The sequence below is a fragment of the Homo sapiens genome, chromosome 6, assembly GCF_000001405.40.
Source record: "Homo sapiens chromosome 6, GRCh38.p14 Primary Assembly".
NCBI classification, from domain to species: domain Eukaryota; kingdom Metazoa; phylum Chordata; class Mammalia; order Primates; family Hominidae; genus Homo; species Homo sapiens.
The window spans coordinates 45673163-45695051 of record NC_000006.12 but is presented as its reverse complement, the minus strand read 5'-3'; the positions used below and the strand labels follow the sequence as shown (position 1 = coordinate 45695051).

The window sequence follows — 21889 nt, the reverse complement described above, 5'->3', positions numbered from 1 at the left end:
ATGAAGGGCTGTTGAATTTTGTCAAAGGCCTTTTCTGCATCTATTGAGATAAACACAGGCAACCTACAAAATGGGGGAAAATTTTTGCAACCTACTCATCTCACAAAGGGCTAATATCCAGAATCTACAATGAACTCAAACAAATGTAAAAGAAAAAACAAACAACCCCATCAAAAACTGGGTGAAGGATATGAACAGACACTTCTCAAAAGAAGACATTTATGCAGCCAAAAAACACATGAAAAAATGCTCATCATCACTAGCCAGCAGAGAAATGCAAATAAAAACCACAATGAGATACCATCTCACACCAGTTAGAATGGCGATCATTAAAAAGTCAGGAAACAACAGATGCTTGAGAGGATGTGGAGAAATAGGAACACTTTTACACTGTTGGTGGGACTGTGAACTAGTTCAAGCATTGTGGAAGTCAGTGTGGCGATTCCTCAGGGATCTAGAACTGGAAATACCATTTGACCCAGCCATCCCATTACTGGGTATATACCCAAAGGATTATAAATCATGCTGCTATAAACACACATGCACACGTATGTTTATTGCGGCACTATTCACAACAGCAAAGACTTGGAACCAACCCAAATGTCCAACAACGATAGGCTGGATTAAGAAAATGTGGCACATATACACCATGGAATACTATGCAGCCATAAAAAATGAAGAGTTCACGTCCTTTATAGGGACATGGATGAAACTGGGAACCATCATTCTCAACAAACTATCGCAAGGACAAAAAAACAAACACCGCATGTTCTCACTCATAGGTGATTGAACAATGAGAACACATGGACACAGGAAGGGGAACATCACACTCCGGGGACTGTTGTGGGGTGGGGGGAGGGGGGAGGGATAGCATTAGGAGATATACCTAATGCTAAATGACGAGTTAATGGTTGCAGCACACCAACATGGCACATGTATACGTATGTAACAAACCTGCACATTGTGCACATGTACCCTAAAAGTTAAAGTATAATAATAATAAAATAAAATTTAAAAAAGTTCGGGACCAGCCTGGCCAACATGGCGAAACCCTATCTCTACTAAAAAATACAAAAAAAAAAAAAAATTAGCTGGGTGTGGTGATGGGCACCTGTAACCCCAGCTACTCAAAGGCTGAGGTACAGAGAATTGCTTGAACCCGGGAGGTGGAGCTTGCAGTGAGCAGAGATGGTGCCACTGCACTCCAGCCTGGGTGACAGAGTGAGACTCTGTCTCAAAAGTAAATAAATAAATAAATAAAATTCTTTCCATGTATAACACGCCATGACTATACCACATTGTAGAAGGTCTATGGTGATCACAGACCTCTTGTGGTTAACGGTGTTTGAACTTCAGAGTTACATAAATATAAGAAATAGAAACAAACGTATTGGGCACCTTATATGCCTCTTTTCTAGACAATGTCTCTTTTAATACCAGCCTCGGTTTATTCCTTCTGGAATTCCAGTTAGATATTTGCTGGATATTTCCATTTTATCCTCCATGTATTTTAATCTCTTTCTCTTTTTTTGCTGGATTCTGTGTAATACCCTCAGGTTTATCTTCAGTTTGCTAATTCTTTCTTCAGTTTTGTCTAATTATCTGTTCAGTGCATCCACTGACATGCTTTTAATGCATTAACCATACTTTTTATTTTTATAAGTTCTATATTTTTAAGTCTGCCTATTCCTTCTCATCTTATTATATTTTCATCATTATTCATCTTGTTTCTTACATTTTTTAAATTAATTAATTTATTTTTTCCATAAGTTATTGCAGTACAGGTGGCGTTTGGTTACATGAGTAAGTTCTTTAGTGGTGATTTGTGAGATTTTGGTGCACGCATCACCCGAGCAGTATACAGTGTACCATAGTTGTAGTCTTTTCTTTTATTTTTTTTGAGACGGAGTCTCACTCTGTCGCCAGGCTGGAGTGCAGTGGCGGCGATCTCAGCTCACTGCAAGCTCCGCCTCCCGGGTTCACGCCATTCTCCTGCCTCAGCCTCCCGAGTAGCTGGGATTATAGGCACACGCCACCACGCCAGGCTAATTTTGTTTTTGTATTTTTAGTAGAGACGGGGTTTCACCGTGTTAGCCAGGATGGTCTTGATCTCCTGATCTGATGATCTGCCTGCCTCAGCCTCACAAAGTGCTGGGATTACAGGCATTAACCTGCGCCCCCGGCCCATAGTTGTAGTCTTTTATCCCTCACCCCCTTCCCACTCTTTCTCCCAAGTCCCCAAAGTCCATTGTATCATTCTTATGCCTTTGAACTAGCTGTTTTCCTTATGCATCACGTTTTTACTTGCAAGAATGACTACTGACAGACAAGGTATGGTTACTCAGACTTGAGTATTTGACAGACATTTTCTGAAAAATAACTAATGCATTTGTTGCCAAGGATAAAATATAGGCTTTCTTGCAAACATTTAAAATTTTGTAAATTTTATATCTGTCACTATTCAATACTTAAAGTCTTTTCTAATGAAATTGGTGATGATATTAATAAATGTGATTTTGGGGATTGGATAATAAAATGTAGTAACATTTGAAAGATTTACGTAATTTGGTGAACTTATATTTTTCAAAAGATCCATTCACAATGCATTGATAAAACACTCATTCAAAGTGCAACATAGACCAATGGATTTCAATAAAACAAAATGTTGTTATAGTTTCAGATTCAACGTTGCAAATGACCTTTAAGAAACAACTACTTGTTGAGTTCTGGTGTAGTAGCAAAGAAAAGGACTCAACAACTAAATGAAAAGGCTCGTAACATACTCCTCTCTTGTGCAACTATATGTCTGCGTGAGGCTAGATTTTCTTCATATACTTCAGCCAAAACAGTACATCAACACAGATTGAATGCAGATGCAGATATGAGAATCCAGCTGTCTTCTACTTGTAAATTAAAGAAATCTGCAAAAAAAGACTTTTTAAAATATCACTCTTTTCTAAAATGTTGTTTGGGAAAAAACTATAATTTTTCACTAAATATATGTCATTTGTGCTAAAATGTAATGGGTATCTTATTATTACTTTTAAGTATTCATATAGATGCATTTTTAATTTCTCAATTCTAGTTTCTAGTATTGTAAATATCAATAGCGATAACTTTTATAAATGAAAGTTCTTTGAGGTCCTCAATAATTTTTAAGAATATAAAGGGCTTCTGGGACCCAAAATTTTGAGAACTGCTGCTGCATATAACTCACTTATTGCTGTAACTATTTTTCATCTTCCTCCATTACAATGCATGCCATAATATGGCAGGAGTTGTTTCCTGTCATCACTGAGTCTCCAGAGTTTAGAATAGTGCCAGGCAATTGTAGGTGCTCAGTAAAGATTTGTTGAGTGAATGAATTAATGCCACTCGACAGCAACCTCCACTTCCTGATGCCTGTGTGCTGACTCTCCTATGAACCTCCCCAGGGCACAGAGTGTGAGGTTGAGCTAAGAACCCCCACATCCATTTATCTGTTGTAAGATATTTTCCAACTTCCTGCCCATTCCAAATCAAACCGATCTCACCCATTCTGAACTCTCCATGCACTGGCCTTCTAACACTGAGTGCACACTATGTCCTCAATCATTCATCCTGGCCCTTAAGGCCACCACTTTGCCTTGTTTATATGCAATTCCTTTTCTTCCCCTCAGATTGTAAGATCCGGGAGTGCTGTGTTTCATGGTTCGCCTATTTTCAACTCTAATCACAGTACATAGCACTGAACAGGTATTCAATAAATGTTTTTTATATAAATGAATAATATACAAAATGAACACTCTTTCACCTGAATATGCACGTATATACACACATTGAGAATACTTATTTGTTTCCAGCAGCCAATGAAAACCTTTCTCCAATGACAGCATGGTTCCCATACCTTTCTTTCCCTATAGCTAAGCCCTTCCCTTGCTCCCAAAAGTTCTCTAGCCAACCCTGCCCTCAGGCACACCAGTGCAACAGTGCAGGTGACTCACTGTCAATGCCTGTTTGTAGGACATCCCTCAATGGTCAGTGCCCCAGTATCCAGGCTTCTGCCTCATAGCCACAGGTCCAGTAACCAGGCCTAGGCATTGTTCCCTTGCAAGAGTCCTGGCCTCCGTGACAGTAGCATTTCTTGAGCATCCACAATGTGTCATGAGCTTGGTCATAAATATGTATAATCCCCAGGCATCTCAGCAACATGATAGTGAAGAACCACAGAGAACATGAGATAAGGACCAAGCCTAATCAATTTGTTGTATCTACACACCCACAGTGCATGCTCAGTCAATATTTAGTGAATAAATGGCTGAATGAATGAATCCTACGTGTGTGTTCACATCCCATTGTACATATGAGCAAACAGCCTCACAGAGGTTATGCAGCTCATCCATCATGTTGCCAACCCCTGCATATATTCAGGGCCACCAATGGTCTACACCCAGTGGCTTCCCCCACAAGCCTCTGTCCACTCAGGCAAACTGGTTTTCATGTCACAGACCTTCTTGGTCTTGGTGGATTCCACTGTTCATTCAGCAACAATCTCTCAGTGTCAGCCAGCTGGGACAAGTCACCTCAGTCCTTCCAACTCCTGTCATCCTTAGCAGACCAGGCAGGGGCATTTTCAAAGTACCAGTTAAACCTCTTGATTTCAGCTGGTTGGTCCAGACTAGCAACCCAGAGAGCAGGACACCTAGTGCAAAGAAAGCCATTCTGTTCTCAACAAGTCTGCAGCTAACAGCACTTCTTTCAGTCCTCCTCAGTTTCTGTTGCTGGAGGAAGAAAGATAAAGGAGGCTGGGAAATTCAGGCCAACCTACTTGCTCATATTGCACCCAGGCTCCCAGTCTGTGGCTGCAGCTTTTACTGGAAGGTAATAGACATGTGACTTGGGCAAGGCTACACTAGCTAATGCTTTGCTTCCTAAGTGCTCCTAACAGCTGCAGTTAACCAGGGAAAATGAAGCTGGAAAGGATCACGGAATGCCAAGGTTTGCCACTTTCCCCAATGCCCAGGCCCCCCATGGCCTGGCCACAAGCATCCTTTGCCCAGTTATTGCCCTGACAGCACAGGGAGCAAGTGGCCCCTTGTGCAATCTAACAGTGCGGCCAGCTGAGAAGAGCCAGGGCCCCAGACAGAATGTGAAGGCCTGGACAGGAGCATTCTTAAGCCCTGTGGAGCACTGGCCTGGTCAAGGGACAGCACCTACTTGGCCACAGGAGTAAAAGCATGGGAGAGTTGGGCCCTTCCCCTGAAGCCTCTGCACACAGGAGGCTGTGGGGCCTTCAAAAAAAGAAGAGGAAGGAAGGAAGGAAGGAAGGAGGGAAGGAGAAAGGGAGAAGGAAGGAAAGAAAGAAAGAAAGAAAGAAAGAAAGAAAGAAAGAAAGAAAGAAAGAAAGAAAGAAAGAAAGAAAGAAGAAAGAAAAGAAAGAAAGAAAGAAAGAAAGAAAGAAAGAAAGAAAGAAAGAAAAAAGAAAAGAAAGGAAAGAAAGACGGAAAGAAAGAAAGATGGAAAGAGAAAGGAAAGGAGAAAGAAAGAAATCTTGTATTGCTTTGGGTTGTTTTCTATTTTAAAAAGTGATATATTTCAATAGTAGAAAATTCAAATAATACGTAGAAGCATTAAGAAACTGGGTACAGTGGCTCATGCCTGTAATCCCAGCACTTTGCTGGGGTCAAGACAAGAGGATTACTTGAGGCTGAGAGTTCAATACCAACCTGGTCAACACAGCAAGACCTCATCTCTACTAAAAGTAAAAGAAAAAAAAATAGCCAGGTGTGGTGGCATGCCTGTAGTCCTGGCTACTGGTGGGGATGAGGTGGGAGGATCCCTTGAGCTCAGGAGGTCAAGGCTGCGGTGAGCTGTGATCACGCCACTCAGAGTGACAGAGTGAGACCCCATCTCTAAAATAAAAAAAGAAGCACTAAGAAGAAAATTTAAGTTACTTGTTACCTACTTGTCATCTAGAAATGACTGCTGTGGACATTTTGTACCAGTCCTCCTGTCTTTCTTCTGCATGTGTCTTTATTATAACATATTGATGTCATAATGTTCCTACTATAAACAGACTTTCCACCAAACACTGCATAATAAGCATTTTCTCCACCATAATAAATAATATTTTCTGATTTTTAAAGCATACAGAATATTCCACCATCATCTGGAATTTATTTAACCATTAATTTTTTTAACTATCCCCTATTATTGAACTTCCAAGTTGTTTTCCTTTTTTCTATTCTAAGCAACATGCTGATTATCTTGAACATAAACTGTGCCCTTCTTCAATTACTTAATTAGAAGGGTTGCTAGAAATGGAATTATTGGGTCAAAATGAACCCACATTTAAAAAAATTTAAGAAACCTTACTAATGTATAATTAACATACAATAAGTTGCATGTATTTAAAGTGCAAAATTTCGTAATTTCTGACATATGTATATACCCATGAAGCTATTGCCACAATCAAGGTGATGCACACATCTGTCACCCGCATATGTTTCTTTGTGGCCCTTTCTAATCCCTCTCTCTCTCCCCTTCCTTTCCCCATAGCAATGACTGCTCTGCTTTCTATCACTACAGACTAGGTAGAATTTTCCAGGGTTTTTTATAAATGGAGTTACCCAATACATACTCTTTTCCTCTGGTTTCTTTTCTTCAGCATAATTATTTGGAGATTCATTCATATTATTGCATCACTAATTTATTCCTTTTTAGTGCAGAGTCTTACTCCACTATATAGTCAGGAAAGTGCACCCATTTTTAACACTTTTGATGCCTACTACAAAACAGACTGTGGGGGCTTCTTGAGGCTCTTTATCACAAAAGCATGGACATTTGGAGCTGACCACCCCCTCCACTGAAAAGCTAGGATTGAAATTCCATTTGTTCCAATTGTACCATTCTGTCCCCAGAACTGCATAGCCTCTGACCCTCCCTAGTTCCAACATCCATTACCAGGAAAAAGGAAAAACTCCAGGAACCAAGAAAAGACCCAAGAGAAGAGGGGCCGGCAAGGGCAGCAGCAGTGTCACTGGAGCCCTGGTACCTCGTGCCTCAACTCTCCAATCCCAGAAGGGACCTACTTCCTAGGTGCTGCTCTGCTCCCAAAGAAGCCGGCCCTGAAGCAGTGGCCTGAGCCATCACACCGTGGGCAGTCATGGGGGTGATGAGCAGGGCACAGGGACAAGACAGGTTCTCAGACCACACAGACAAGTGCGTGTGAGGTCTATTTGCGCTCCCTGTAACCTGTAACCCTGCATGAACGTTGTACTGGTACAAATAGAACTATAAAACAGGGAGGAAAAAAAGACTGCATTTGCTTCCCTGCTAGACCATGAAACCACTGAGAGTCGGATCTGTGGCTGACTCATCTTGCTTCATGGCTTCTTGCTCTGGTGGGTTTTCAATCCGCTTTTCTCGAAGGCTATTGACTACATTTTCTTTGAAATAGCTCAGCTCCTGCCCAGCACCAGAAATCAGGCGACCACAAGGAAGATGGCAGGGGGCTGGGGCCTGCCCTATCCCTACACCCGTCCCATAAACTTCTCTGCTTCCTTCAACATGCAGTTGCATGTCTTTTCTTTAGAACCACGTCCAAACTCCCCAGGTGGAGTCAGTCATGCCCTCAAGCTGCCTGTTTTCCATTGCACTGGGATTATTTGCTTAACCATTCAGCAAGCTTATTGGGGGCCCACTGTGTGCTGAGTACTGGGCCCTTCCGCTCGTGGAGTCCAGAGTCCAGTGAAGCACCAAGGCTCAGTGGAGATGACTCCCATGCCAGGGGTCAGGAGCAAAGATGGAGCTGTGCAGAGGACGCCATGGGCCCACTGAGGAAAGATGCCTCTCATGGAATGGACAGGGAATCAAGAAAAACCTCCTGGAGGAATTAGGCCCTAAAACAAACCCTAAAGAACAAAAAGGGGTTATCTAGATGCAGAAGTTAGGAAAGAGGCAGGGTCCAGACTGCGTGGATCAGGGAACAAAGGCAGAGAGGCAGTGGGGTCAGGGGAGAGATGTACAGAGGGAAGAATCAAATCCCTCACCCACCAGGAGAACGGGAGGCCGGCCAGTCCAAAAGGGCTGAAGGATCTGGCTGGTGGTGGAATAGCAACTACTGAGGGGCAAGGCAAGAGAGGCAGGTAGGAACCAGGCACCAAGAACTTTGTACTCCATGTAAAATGGGCAAAAGGGAGCCACTTGAAAATCTGAATGAGCAACTTAGTTAGAAGTGTATGTGAGGCAGATTGTGTGCTACAGTATGGGAGAGGGATTTCTGAGGGTGACACCAGATCAGACACACTAGTTATGGGGGAAGTACAATAATCAACAGAAGAGGCATTAAAGGACTAAACTAGGGGAGTGTTGGCTGGGATGCAGAGTAGAGATGAGTATAATGGATGTTCAGAAGGTAAAATTTGTAATACTTGATGTTCGATTCCAATGTGGGGACTAAGGGTGAAAAATAAGTCGATAGTGACTCTTGAGTTTCCCAAGTGACACACATGTGGATGGCACCTTCCCATCAATTAGGACAGACATGGCTTATTCACCACTCCATCCCCAGAGACCAGTACAGTGTCTAAGATATGGCCAGTGCTTCATAAACGTTTCTGAATGAATGAATTAGTCTAAGAACAGTCCTGCCTTACCTACTCCAAGGGGGCACATGCACAGAGCACAGAGTGAAAGATGTCCTGGATTTGGGTAGCTGCAGACCCCGCAGGGAAACCCTCAATGTAAAGATGGTCTCCTGTCCCAATAACGTGAGCTTTACAGAGGAGGATGCCAGCAGAGGACCCAACCATATCAAGGAATGGAGGATAGCAACGAACACAAACAGTCATGACTTGGATCCTTGCTGCATTCAGACCATTGGCAGCTCAAGGCTGTGGAAGAAGGAACATAGGAGCTTGACCCAGAGAGAGAAAAGATTTGGAGATTTTAGTCAGCAACAGACACTGAAGGTGGGCAAGGTCAACATTTACAAAGTTATGACGAAGGCCTTTAAACAAGGAGATTCCTACCATCTTCTTAGTAGGAAGTTGTCGTTGGAGGTCAATGAAATGGAAGCCACTTCCTGCAAAAGGGATCTTCCAGAACTGTGGATCCCCTTCCCTGAAAAAAGGTAAGATCAAAAACTATGATAGATTTAAAGAAGTTTTAAATTGATTGTGTCTAACAAAGTTTCCAGAGCATAAAGTGGACCCTTGGGTTTTTGTAGCACGTCCCCAGTATGGGGTGGGATAACTGAGGGCTTCCACACTCCAGCCTGTCCCTTTTGTTTTTTGTCAAGAATTACAGCATGGGTTTTATGAAGCCCACTCAGAGCCCTCCTCACTGAATATCCTTGGACGTGTTTTTAAACTTCTCATTCCTCAGGTTCCTCATTGCACAAAAGGTGTGGTAATACCAACCTTGGAGGACTGTTATGGGACTGAATGAGATAATAGACGTCTAAAAAATGGCAAATTTTATTATCAGAGGCATCACTGTTATTATCTTACAGTAAGTCAACCTTTCTGAGTTTCACCACAAAAATGCATGATCAGGTTTTTGGAGAATTAAATTAGATAATGGAGAGGGATACATTTTGTGCACTGTAAAGAATTCTGTAAAAAGTAAAATGATTATTGTTGTGTGGGTATGAAGAGGGAAAAACAGTCCCCTGATTCTCCTGGAGAGACTGAGGGCTCTCACCCAGAGCATGTGCATTTTTATCTTTAATTCAAAGCCTATGACTCAGGTTGGAGATCTGCTTACTGGACTGCTGGAAAGCTAGGCTTAGGACTCCCCTGCAGGACCACCCAGGAGTCTGAGCAGCCACAGGATGCCAACATCTTGTTGACTTAAGAATATGAACCATTGGAATGTATTACACCTGTCTGTCCTGGCTACCTAGCCTTTTAGTCCTTCAAGGTGTTTAATTTAATCTGCAGAACTCTATACAGTGGGACCCTCATTCCCTCTGAGGTTACTGCTTGCTTTTATAACATTAAGCTAGGAAGTTATAAAATTGCAGAGTGTGGGAAAAATACCAAGATCCTAACCTTGGTTTGACCACCTACCAACTGTGTGGTCTTGAGAAAATCATTTCACTTCTCTAAGCCTCGATTTCCTCTCCTATAAAATGGGGCTTATAATCCCTGTTTATCTCTCATAATTTTTATGAGAATCAATAAAGTATTCTGTGCAGTATAAACAATTGTATAACATAAATATATAAAAGTATTCTTACTACTTCTGCTATATCAGTTAGGCTAGGCTACATTATTCTTCAATAAATACAAGACTCATTTTTCATTCATGTAAAGTCAGGTGTAAATTGAGTGGCTCCTCAGGGCAATTCTCCTCCATGCAGTGATTCAGGGATCCAGACTCCACCCATCTGGAGATGCCAACATCTGAACATCTGGTTTCCAGAGTCATTGTAGCAGAGGAAGAGAGGAGTGATGGTTTGCCAAGAATTTTATTAAATGTCATGCCTGGGAGTGGTTGGACATCATTCCCACCTATATTCTATTGGAAGCACCCAATCATATAGCCCCAACATAATTACAAGCAAGAGTGAAAAATGTAGGGGAGTCAATGGAACAACTGGTGAATACCAGTGTCTTTGCTACACCTGCACTAATGACAAATAATTTACAGTTTAGGAAAATGCATGACAAAGAACAAAGAGCTTAAAATCAAACAAGCCTGGGCTCAAATCCAAACTTTGTTACTTGCCACCTATATGACTTTGAGCAGTTTGGAACCCATTTCCTTATATTTCAAATGGGGGTATTATGGAACCTACCTTACAGTTTTGCTGTAAGGATTATATGAGATAATAAGTATAAATCTGACACATAATTGCTTAATAAATGGTAGCTGTTTATTATTTTTCTCTTCTCTTAACTTTGAAACTGCTGATTCACTTCTGTGAATATTCTGTGGCAACTTGCGAGAAAAAATTTAAGTGTCTGTCACACTCACCAGCTCCCACCTGAGAAACACTTTATTGCTACTAAAACCTGATTAAACTGAGCTTCAAAAAAGAAGCAGTCATCTGAGAGGTTATTCACCGTCAAATAAGCCTCTTGTACTCTGCTCTGGGCATCAAGGACCAGGGTTCCCGCTGTACCATAGAGGACCTGTGTGCAAATTAGAAAAAAAAGCCCTTCCTCTTGATGTAGAATAATCCCATTGGCCCTACTGCTTGATAAGTGTGGATTTCACTCACTCCTCAGCCTGGTACCCTTGGGCAGTGACCAACCTGCACAACTGTACCCACTGGTCTGCCAGGGATATATAAACAAAAACATCTAGTCATGCTCTTGAGGAGGCCACCAGAAAGCTCTGGGGAGACAGACTTATAACCAATTGACTTCACTCCACTTTAGAGCAGAAAGGAGAGAGCAGACAATTTTGTGGGCACAAAAGGCAACAAGTTACCCTTTATTCCTTTTCTCTCTTCCTATAAACAAGACTGTCCTGGACTGTGGTGACTTTCTGTCTTGGTTGGTCCATTCAGAGTCAAAAAGACTCAGTGTCTTTGGTCTCGCTGAGTAAAGGCTGGTCACAGTCCAAAGTACAGAAGTTCAATCATTATAGTTAGGTCTAATTGAGACACACATCCAATCCTTCCTCAGGAATCCTGAATAACCCATTTTCAAGTCCCCCCCACCAATCTCTTTGACTAACAGGTTGTTTTACTTTGGACAAAGTTAAACCTTTCCTTGCCTCAGTTTCCCCCAATACAGAATGGACATGGGGTACTAATCAAATGTGTATTGAGGGGAATCTATTAGGAATACTGTAAACTTTCAAAAATATAAACCGACATAAATGCATGGAAGTCATTGTTCTTTTATGTATGGATTAATGTACTTGCATAGTAATTCACAATGATATTTTATGTGAAATATCTTTATTTGTTCTAAGCAGTTTCTTCAAATAAGGATAAAATAGGCTCTAGAGTGTAGTATTAAGAATTACAATGGGCCAGGCATGGTGGCTCACACCTGTAATCCCAGCACTTTGGGAGGCCAAGGCAGGTGGATCACCTGAGGTCGGGAGTTCAAGACCAGCCTCACCAACATGGAGAAACTTAATCTCTACTAAAAAAACAAAATTAACTGGGTGTGGTGGCAAATGCCTGTAATCCCAGCTACCCGGGAGGCTGAGACAGGAGAATCCCTTGAACCCAGGAGGCGGAGGTTGCAGTGAGCTGAGACCGCACCATTGCAATCCAGCCTGGGCATCACAGTGAGACTCTGTCACAAATAAAAAAAAGAAGAAAATGAATTACAATGAACTGCAAGTAAAAGAATTAAAAAAAAAAAAAAAAAAAACAGTGGCATAATTAGTTGAGAAGTCTTATTTTTTTCACATGTAGCTAGAAGTGAAAAAGGAGGCAGCCCATGGCTGGTACTGTAGTCATACCATCAGAGACCCAAGCTCTTTCTGCTTTCCTCTCAATCATTCTCAGCTTGTGCTGGCTCCTTGGGGCCATAATATTTTCCAGCATCAGATTTTTATTCCAGAAAGGAAGAAGGAGAAGGGCAAAAGGACTCCCCATCCTCCTTCAAGGAACTACTCAATATTTCACTTGCTTCTCATTGGCCAAAGGAATGTCACATGACAACTCCTTTCTACAAAGGAAGCCAGAGAATGTAGGTTTTTAGCTGGGCATGTGGTTCTGGCAGTAAGAAAAAGCAGGAGAGTGGATATTGGGTAGACACCTAACAATGTTCAGATGTATTTGTGACAAGTTGATTGAAACAAGGGGAAAAGGAGTGATTAAAAAAAAAAAAAAAGCATATGAGGCAATTCCCTAAATCAGTCATCTACTTCCACAATAATGCTCCCTCGCAGTAAAAAAACCTCAGGGACATGCAACAGTAAACATCTAGGGTCAGCTGGAGGTCAGCTAAGTGGCTCTGCTAATTTTGGCTGGGCTTACTCATATGTGTGAGAGTCGGCTGGCAGTTGGCTGATCTAGACTGGCTTTGACTGGAGCAACAGAGATGGCTCAGCTCTGCTGCTCAGTTTCTCTTCCTCCAGCCGGCTAGCTTGAGCGTGTTGTCATGGCAATGGCAGATACACAAGACAGCAAAAGGAAACACACACAGTCTCTGAAGTTCTATATGTGGAACTGATACTTACACTTTACCTTGTTGGCCAAAACAGGTCCATGATTAGGCTCAGAAACAGCATTGGACAGCAATACAGATGTGTATGGTGAAGGACATAGATACAGGAGGGATGAATAATTAGGGTCATTTCTACACTCTGCCATATCCCCTCTCTATAGATTCTTAGACCTAGTAGCTAAAAGAGGCATTAAGTGGTTAAAAAGGATTCTCTAGAAAGCAGAGTTTATCACATTCACATTCACTCAAAGATCTGCTGTTTAAAGAGTCATGTCCCAGCAGTATGATTGCATGTTTTAAAATTATAAAAATAATATCCTAGATATTTAGAACACCAACACCACGTTTTTGGGAATAACACCCTAAAGGAAGAATTTTCTTTAGATTATTAAAACTTTACAATATTGTTTCCAATTTTTTATTTTGATAAAATACACATAACTTAAAATTTAACCTCTTAAAGATTTTTCAGGGTGTATAGTTCCAGTGGTTTTAATACCTTCATTCATAATGTTGTATAAATATCACCACCACCCATCTTCAGAACTTTTTCCATCTTGTAAAATTGGAATTATTTACCCATTAAACAATAACTCTCAATTGCCCCCATCCCCTGGCAACCACCATCTCTATTATTTTGAATAGTAATTGGCAGATTTAGATTAGATCTAGTAATTTTATACTCAAATAATTACCTCATATAAGTGGAATCATACAGTATTTGTCTTTTTGTGACTGTCTTATTTAACTTAGCATAATGTCCTCAAGGTTCATCCATGTTGTATCCTGTGTGAGAATTTCCTTCCTTTTTAAGGCTGAATAATTTTCCATTGAATGTACATACCATTTTGTTTATTCATTCTTCTGTAGAGGAACACTTGGGTTGTGTCTGCATTTTAGCTATCATGAACAATGCTGCTATGAACATAAGTGTACAAATATCTCTTTGAGATCTTTCTTTCAATTCTTTTTGGTATAGACCTATTAGGTTGGTGCAAAAGTAATCGTGGATTTTGCTATTTCTTTTAATGGCAACAATCGCAATTACTTTTGCACCAACCTATAGATGCAAAATTGCTGAATCCTATGGTAATTCTATTCTTAATTTTTTGAAGAATCATCATACTGTTTTCCACAGTAGCTGTACCATTTTACATTCCCACCAACAGGGCACAAGAGTTCCAAATCCTGTGTATCCTCATTAATACTTGCTTTTTGCTATGGTGTTTTGATAGTAGCCATCCTATTTGGTGTGAGTGTTACCTCATTACGGTTTTGATTTGCGTTTCCCTAATGTTTGGTGATGTTGAGCCTCTTTTCATGTGTTTATTGGTTATTTGTATATTTTCTTAGGAGAAATGCCTTTTTTTTTTTTTTTTTTTGAGACTGAGTCTCACTCTGTCACCCAGGCTGGAGTGCAGTGGTGCGATATCGGCTCACTACAAACTCCACCTCCCAGGTTCATGCCATTCTCCCACCTCAGCCTCCCGAGTAGCTGGGACTACAGGTGCCCACCACCACGCACAGCTAATTTTGTTTTTGTATATTTAATAGAGACGGGGTTTCACCATATTAGCCAGGATTGTTGCAATCTCCTGACCTCATGATCCGCCCACCTCAGCCTCCCAAAGTGCTGGGATTACAGGTGTGAGCCACCACACTTGGCCCAGAAATGCCCATTTTTAAATTAGGCTCTTTGTTTTTGAATTTTAGTTCTTTATATATGCTGGATATTAATCCCTTATCAGATGCATGATTTATACATATCTGCTCGCATTCTGAGAGTTACCTTTTTACTTTGTTGATGATCACATTATTTCTTACAGCTAATTTTGAGGGTGGATTGTCTTCCCAGAAAATGGGGAGAAATAATGTCTCAATTTTTTAAAGGTAGAAGACCCAGGATGAATAAAGTTTCAGGTCTAAGAGGAAAAATATAAATTCTTAAGCTATAGAAATGGTCCTTCACCTGATTTTGTACCTCACAGTAATGTAAAACTGAACCTGTTTCAAAGCCACCTTTTCTGTACAGTGCTGCTATTGTGCTGTGGGTGGTACAAATTTAGCCAACCCTACAAAATCCACTTCCCTAGACACATTCTGCAAGGTTTCTGTGACCGCTAGTGGTAAAGCACCACAATGGTGCTCATCAGTCAAACATCACTGCCGGTAGTCTCATTCCTCCTGGAGGCACACACTGAAAGAGAGAACTTTTCCTCTGGGGTCCTGTGCTTATGTGTTCATGGTCTTGTAAGTCACAGCAAAGAGAGAGAAAAACACAGGAGAAAATGAAAATGTCCACAGGAAACAGCCAACTGTACAGAGACAGTGCTTTGGGAAAACCTAAATGGGACTTTATTTCTTTACAGGGGGAAAGAACAAGAATGCAGTCAGCTCAGGTTTATACCAGGATAAAGTGAAATGGGTGGAAAGATGTGTGAGTTCTACCTTAGGTAAGTTGGCACCCCTCAGTTTCCCCAAATGAGCAGGTGGAACTGGGTGAGCCTGCGGTTCCTTCCAGTCTTTATAGTCTGTGTTTGGGGAAAACCAGGAGGCCACCAGCACAGAATATTTGCGTGGGGCCATGTGTGTGTCCTCCCCAAAGGGGAGAAGATAGCAGGGAAGCTCAGCGTCGGGGTGACCAGGAAATAGTGAGAGCTCCCAGCCCAGGAGAGCAGGCCCCTAACAACGAGCCCTTATGAGGGGCAGGTACATGTACACAGTGTGTCCCTGAAATGAGCTGTCAAAAGGAGGGGAAAGAGTACCCTGAGGGTGTGTTTTGGAGAGGAGAGTGGTAGAGAAGGGGGATTCAGAAAACAAACTTTGCTTTGGAACTCCAGAGGAATAAGGACAGGGAATGCCCTCCAAGTACACGTGGACAACATTCACAGCAGATACCCTCAGCTCCCAGATCCAAAGAGGGTAACCATGTCCAACAGGGATGACCAGGTGGCATTTCTAAACCTCATGTGCAGTTCTAAGAGGAGACTCCATTTTTTTTTTTTTTTTTTTTTTTTTTTGAGACGAAGTCTCACTCTATCGCCCAGGCTGGAGTGCAGTGGCATGATCTCGGCTCACTGAAACCTCTGCTGCCTGGGTTCAAGCAATTCTCCTGCTTCAACCTCCCGAGTAGCTGGGATTACAGGTGTCTGCCACCATGCCAGGCTAATTTTTGTATTTTTAGTAGAGATGGGGTTTCACCATCTTGACCAGGCTGGTCTTGAACACCTGACCTCATGATCCACCCGCCTCAGCCTCCCAAAGTGCTAGGATTACAGGTGAGAATCCATTATTATATTTAATATTTCAATGCAGGGACTCAGAGCCCTTAAACTGCTTGGACCTAAAAAACCATTCATGGACCACACATGACCTGATCACTCTTGTTCCCTTCCTGTATCTGTGACACAGACAACAAATGCCATCACTTCTCGGCCACAGGTGGAGACCCTGGCCAAGGATACATGACCAAGGATACACGACAGAGCTACAGATCAGTCCTGAACAGAAATGCAACAGAACAGCCTCTTGTTTCCTCAGCCACACTTCTAGACCGAATTTCCTGCCCTGAAATGCTGTCCACAGCCAGGCCAAGGAGCGGAAAAGAGAAGCCTTTTAAAATTAGCATACTAGCATATGGGGCGGTGGGAGGAGGGGGATGAAAAGAAGGATCTTGGAAGAGCTCCAGCTATTTTATTCCTGTTTTTTCATTCCAGTTTGGAGATCTGGGACACATTGATTCACAACTTTATAGTTCTTATTCAGCATTGATTTATGGGCTGACCAATCTGGGCCTAATCAGTCAGAGAAGGATTGGGGTTTTTTTGTCCAATAATGTTATATTTATGAGTCCATGAAGTGCACCGTGGCTGCAGCCCTGCCTGGAGTCAATAGAACAGAACTTCTAAGATCTCAGAGAAGGGGGTTCCCAGACCATTTTCTGCCCCCATATCATGCTTAAAGCTCCACTGTACATTAGAGGCCCCTGGTGTCATCTCACATTTAAACTCCAAACGGCTTGCCTGTAAATCTTCAACAACTGTGAACAGCTATGACAGTCTCGAATGTCCGTGGTTCTGTGCATCTGTCACTCTTATTTTCTTCTTTCCTTCTCTGACTGTGGAAGTAACTAACCCGCAGCTGGATGCTCACTGGATATTTCACAGCTGCGGAGACCAGGGCAGCGTTTGTTCACTCAGAGAAGCCCAGCCAGGGCTGTGCGGAGTTCAGCGGGTTATCATGTGCTTCCGGCTTGATCTGTGGTTATTCTGGTTCAGTGACTATAAAGAAATGAGCAGCCTGGCTAGACAGGAACTAGTTGAGAAGCCTGTCGTGGAGGGGAGGAAACAGAAATACTCAGATTGCAAGCATCTTTATGTTTTTCTTTGACGGGAAAGACATTTTCCCTGTCACACTCTTGGCAGCTGTCTGTTCTCAGCCTTCAACTCTGGTTAGCCCCAGCCGAGTCATTTATTTGCAGGACACCTCAGGCAACAGTGTCCCTGCCTCCCTGCCCTACCGTGGGTACCAGCAGTAAATGTCCATCACCAGCCTCGGCTCCCTAATTCACCTGACAAAGGATTCCACTGCTTGATTTATCCTGAGGAGAGAAAAATTCAGCAACAGCAAGAAACTTAGAAAAGCCATAGGCATCTGACAGACGAAGGAAGAAAGCTGCCAATTCTGCATTTCAGAGTCTGAGCCTATGAAGCCAACCAGATCTACCTATAAAGAGGGAGTCTTGAATGTCCTAGGAAGACTGCCAACCATTACTGGGTGAACAATCAGACAGGTCATCAAGTCAGGGATTGGCAAACTTTTTCTGGAAAGGGTCACATGGTTAAGTATTTCCAGCTTTGAGGTTACATACAGTCACTGTCACATCTTATTTTTTCACTACGACTTAAAAATGTAGGCTGGGCACGGTGGCTCACGCCTGTAATCCCAGCACTTTGGGAGGCTGAGGCAGGCAGATTACGAGGTCAGGAGATCGAGACCATTCTGGCTAACACAGTGAAACCCCATCTCCACTAAAAATACAAAAAAAAAAAAATTAGCTGGGCGTGGTGGCGGGTGCCTGTAATCCCAGCTACTTGGGAGGCTGAGGCAGGAGAATGGCGTGAACCTGGGAGGTGGAGCTTGCAGTGAGCCAAGATTGCGCCACTGTACTCCAGCCTGGACGACAGAGCGAGACTCCATCTCAAAAAAAAAAAGTAAAAGTCATTCTCAGTTCACAAGCTGTACAAGAGTAAGTCACTGGTCGTGGTTTGCTCACCACCCCTCACCCCAACCCGTGGTTTAGACAAACTAAAATTGTTTTTTATTTTAAATTTTGTATCCACTCCCACTGTGCATACATGCATGTGCATGAGCGTGTGGCCTGACAGCTCCAGGCAGTCCCAACGCGCCACACCTCACCTTCCTAGGGTAGAAGTAACACTGGGTAACTCACTCCAGAGAGCCAAGACGCGCTATAGCAGAAAGAACACAGGCTTCAGGAGACATGAGGATTCCTCCCAGCTCAGTGCTGCATCTGTTCTGTGCCCTGAGCCCGTCTCTTGCCCTTTGTGACCTTCCGAGATCCATTTGCAGGGTGAAGGGGGTCAGGCCAGATGATGTCCAAGCTCCCTCCCAAAAGCGATATTTCCTGTAGGCATCCCAAACCCATTTAGGACCAAATGAGGATGTCAGAGAAAGGAATGGATACAAATGTCTTCTATTTGTTCACTCTAGCTCAAAGCACAGCCAATTTTGAGGTGACCACCCCCCACATCAGAAAACCCCCTTTGGGAACAGAGTGGCTGGCACAAGCTCTGCTCAGAGAGACCTGGGAGGAATGCTTGTCAGCCTGGGGGTGCCAGCCACCCCTGCCATGCTCACCATGGAAACAAGCCGTGCGGCCCACACACCAGGCCAAGAATCTGGGCAGCTTGAAGGAGCCATGCCATTGTGGGCAGACACCGAGGCTCCCAGAAAACAAGCAAAGGCGAGGCCTGGAAGCTGTAGAGGAGACAGGTCATCATGACCTTCCCTCCCGGGCCACTGCCAGACTGGCCAGCAGACAGGTCTTCATCTCCATCCAGGCAGCCCAGGCATCCCTCAGGAAGTAAGAGACGGAGCTCACCGCTGCCAGCGTGGGCCCAGGGACTGCTCCCTCCATCAGCAAGTATTGGGTACCAGCTACACGCCTAGATGGTGTTGGGCATTATAGGGACAGGGTGGACAGGATACCGTGCCTGCTCTGGAAGGAATGGCTGGGTCGGAGAATTAACACCCTCCAGTGACCACGTGGGCAGCAGAAACTGTACCTTGTGCATTTTGAAAGAAGAAGCTGGAGCTGAGAGCCTTGAAAGATGTTCCTGGTGTCTCTCAGCAGGGGCTTTGCACGTGTACTTTATGGAAATGGTTTGAGCCCACGGGGCATCCTGCCAGCCACATCCATGAATGCAAAGGTTAGAGTCACCATGCTTGAGCAAAGGAGTAGTGGAGACCTTGCTTTGTAGGAGGCTTAGTAATAATTTGGTAGCAAGGGGAGGAGCCAAGGTGGCCGAATAGGAACAGCTCCGGTCTACAGCTCCCAGGGTGAGCTGTAGAAGACGGGTGATTTCTGCATTTCCATCTGAGGTACCGGGTGCATCTCACTAGGGAGTGCCAGACAGTGAGTGCAGGCCAGTGGGTGTGCGCACCGTGCGCGAGCCGAAGCAGGGCGAGGCATTGCCTCACCTGGGAAGCGCAAGGGGCCAGGGAGTTCCCTTTCCGAGTCAAAGAAAGGGGTGACGGACGCACCTGGAAAATCGGGTCACTCCCACCCGAATATTGCGCTTTTCAGACCGGCTTAAAAAACGGCGCACCAGGAGACTATATCCCACACCTGGCTCGGAGGGTCCTACGCCCACGGAGTCTCACTGATTGCTAGCACAGCAGTCTGAGATCAAACTGCAAGGCGGCAGCTAGGCTGGGGGAGGGGCGCCCGCCATTGCCCAGGCTTGCTTAGGTAAACAAAGCAGCCGGGAAGTTCGAACTGGGTGGAGCCCACCACAGCTCAAGGAGGCCTGCCTGCCACTGTAGGCCCCACCTCTGGGGGCAGGTCACAGACAAACAAAAAGACAGCAGTAACCTCTGCAGACTTAAATGTCCCTGTCTGACAGCTTTGAAGAGAGCAGTGGTTCTCCCAGCACACAGCTGGAGATCTGAGAACCGGCAGACTGCCTCCTCAAGTGGGTCCCTGACCCCTGACCCCCGAGCAGCCTAACTGGGAGGCACCCCCCAGCAGGGGCACACTGACACCTCACATGGCAGGGTACTCCAACAGACCTGCAGCTGAGGGTGCTGTCTGTTAGAAGGAAAACTAACAAACAGAAAGGACATCCACACCGAAAACTCATCTGTACATCACCATCATCAAAGACCAAAAGTAGATAAAACCACAAAGATGGGGAAAAAACAGAACAGAAAAACTGGAAACTCTAAAACGCAGAGTGTCTCTCCTCCTCCAAAGGAACGCAGTTCCTCACCAGCAACGGAACAAAGCTGGATGGAGAATGATTTTGACGAGCTGAGAGAAGAAGGCTTCAGACGATCAAATTACTCTGAGCTACGGGAGGACATTCAAACCAAAGGCAAAGAAGTTGAAAACTTTGAAAAAAATTTAGAAGAATGTATAACTAGAATAACCAATACAGAGAAGTGCTTAAAGGAGCTGATGGAGCTGAAAACCAAGGCTCGAGAACTACGTGAAGAATGCAGAAGCCTCGGGAGCCGATGCGATCAACTGGAAGAAAGGGTATCAGCAATGGAAGATGAAATGAATGAAATGAAGTGAGAAGGGAAGTTTAGAGAAAAAAGAATAAAAAGAAATGAGCAAAGCCTCCAAGAAATATGGGACTATGTGAAAAGACCAAATCTACGTCTGATTGGTGTACCTGAAAGTGATGGGGAGAATGGAACCAAGTTGGAAAACACTCTGCAGGATATTATCCAGGAGAACTTCCCCAATCTAGCAAGGCAGGCCAACGTTCAGATTCAGGAAATACAGAGAACACCACAAAGATACTCCTCGAGAAGAGCAACTCCAAGACACATAATTGTCAGATTCACCAAAGTTGAAATGAAGGAAAAAATGTTAAGGGCAGCCAGAGAGAAAGGTCGGGTTACCCTCAAAGGAAAGCCCATCAGACTAACAGCGGATCTCTCGGCAGAAACCCTACAAGCCAGAAGAGAGTGGGGGCCAATATTCAACATTCTTAAAGAAAAGAATTTTCAACCCAGAATTTCATATCCAGCCAAACTAAGCTTCATAAGTGAAGGAGAAATAAAATACTTTACATACAAGCAAATGCTGAGAGTTTTTGTCACCACCAGGCCTGCCCTAAAAGAGCTCCTGAAGGAAGCGCTAAACATGGAAAGGAACAACCGGTACCAGCCGCTGCAAAATCATGCCAAAATGTAAAGACCATCGAGACTAGGAAGAAACTGCATCAACTAACGAGCAAAATCACCAGCTAACATCATAATGACAGGATCAAATTCACACATAACATTATTAACTTTAAATGTAAATGGACTAAATTCTCCAATTAAAAGACACAGACTGGCAAATTGGATAAAGAGTCAAGATCCATCAGTGTGCTGTATTCAGGAAACACATCTCACGTGCAGAGACACACATAGGCTCAAAATAAAAGGATGGAGGAAGAACTACCAAGCAAATGGAAAACAAAAAAAGGCAGGGGTTGCAATCCTAGTCTCTGATAAAACAGACTTTAAAC

At 43.5% G+C, this 21889-nt stretch overlaps 3 annotated features.

The window, feature by feature from the left end:
- Nucleotides 13121-13170: an enhancer, noted in NCBI's record as "active region_24646". NCBI's record gives its function as "activates an Ori minimal core promoter by ATAC-STARR-seq in GM12878 lymphoblastoid cells {active_cell/tissue: GM12878}" and the evidence as "EXISTENCE:reporter gene assay evidence [ECO:0000049][PMID:35858748]".
- Nucleotides 17101-17220: an enhancer, noted in NCBI's record as "active region_24645". NCBI's record gives its function as "activates an Ori minimal core promoter by ATAC-STARR-seq in GM12878 lymphoblastoid cells {active_cell/tissue: GM12878}" and the evidence as "EXISTENCE:reporter gene assay evidence [ECO:0000049][PMID:35858748]".
- Nucleotides 17231-17290: an enhancer, noted in NCBI's record as "active region_24644". NCBI's record gives its function as "activates an Ori minimal core promoter by ATAC-STARR-seq in GM12878 lymphoblastoid cells {active_cell/tissue: GM12878}" and the evidence as "EXISTENCE:reporter gene assay evidence [ECO:0000049][PMID:35858748]".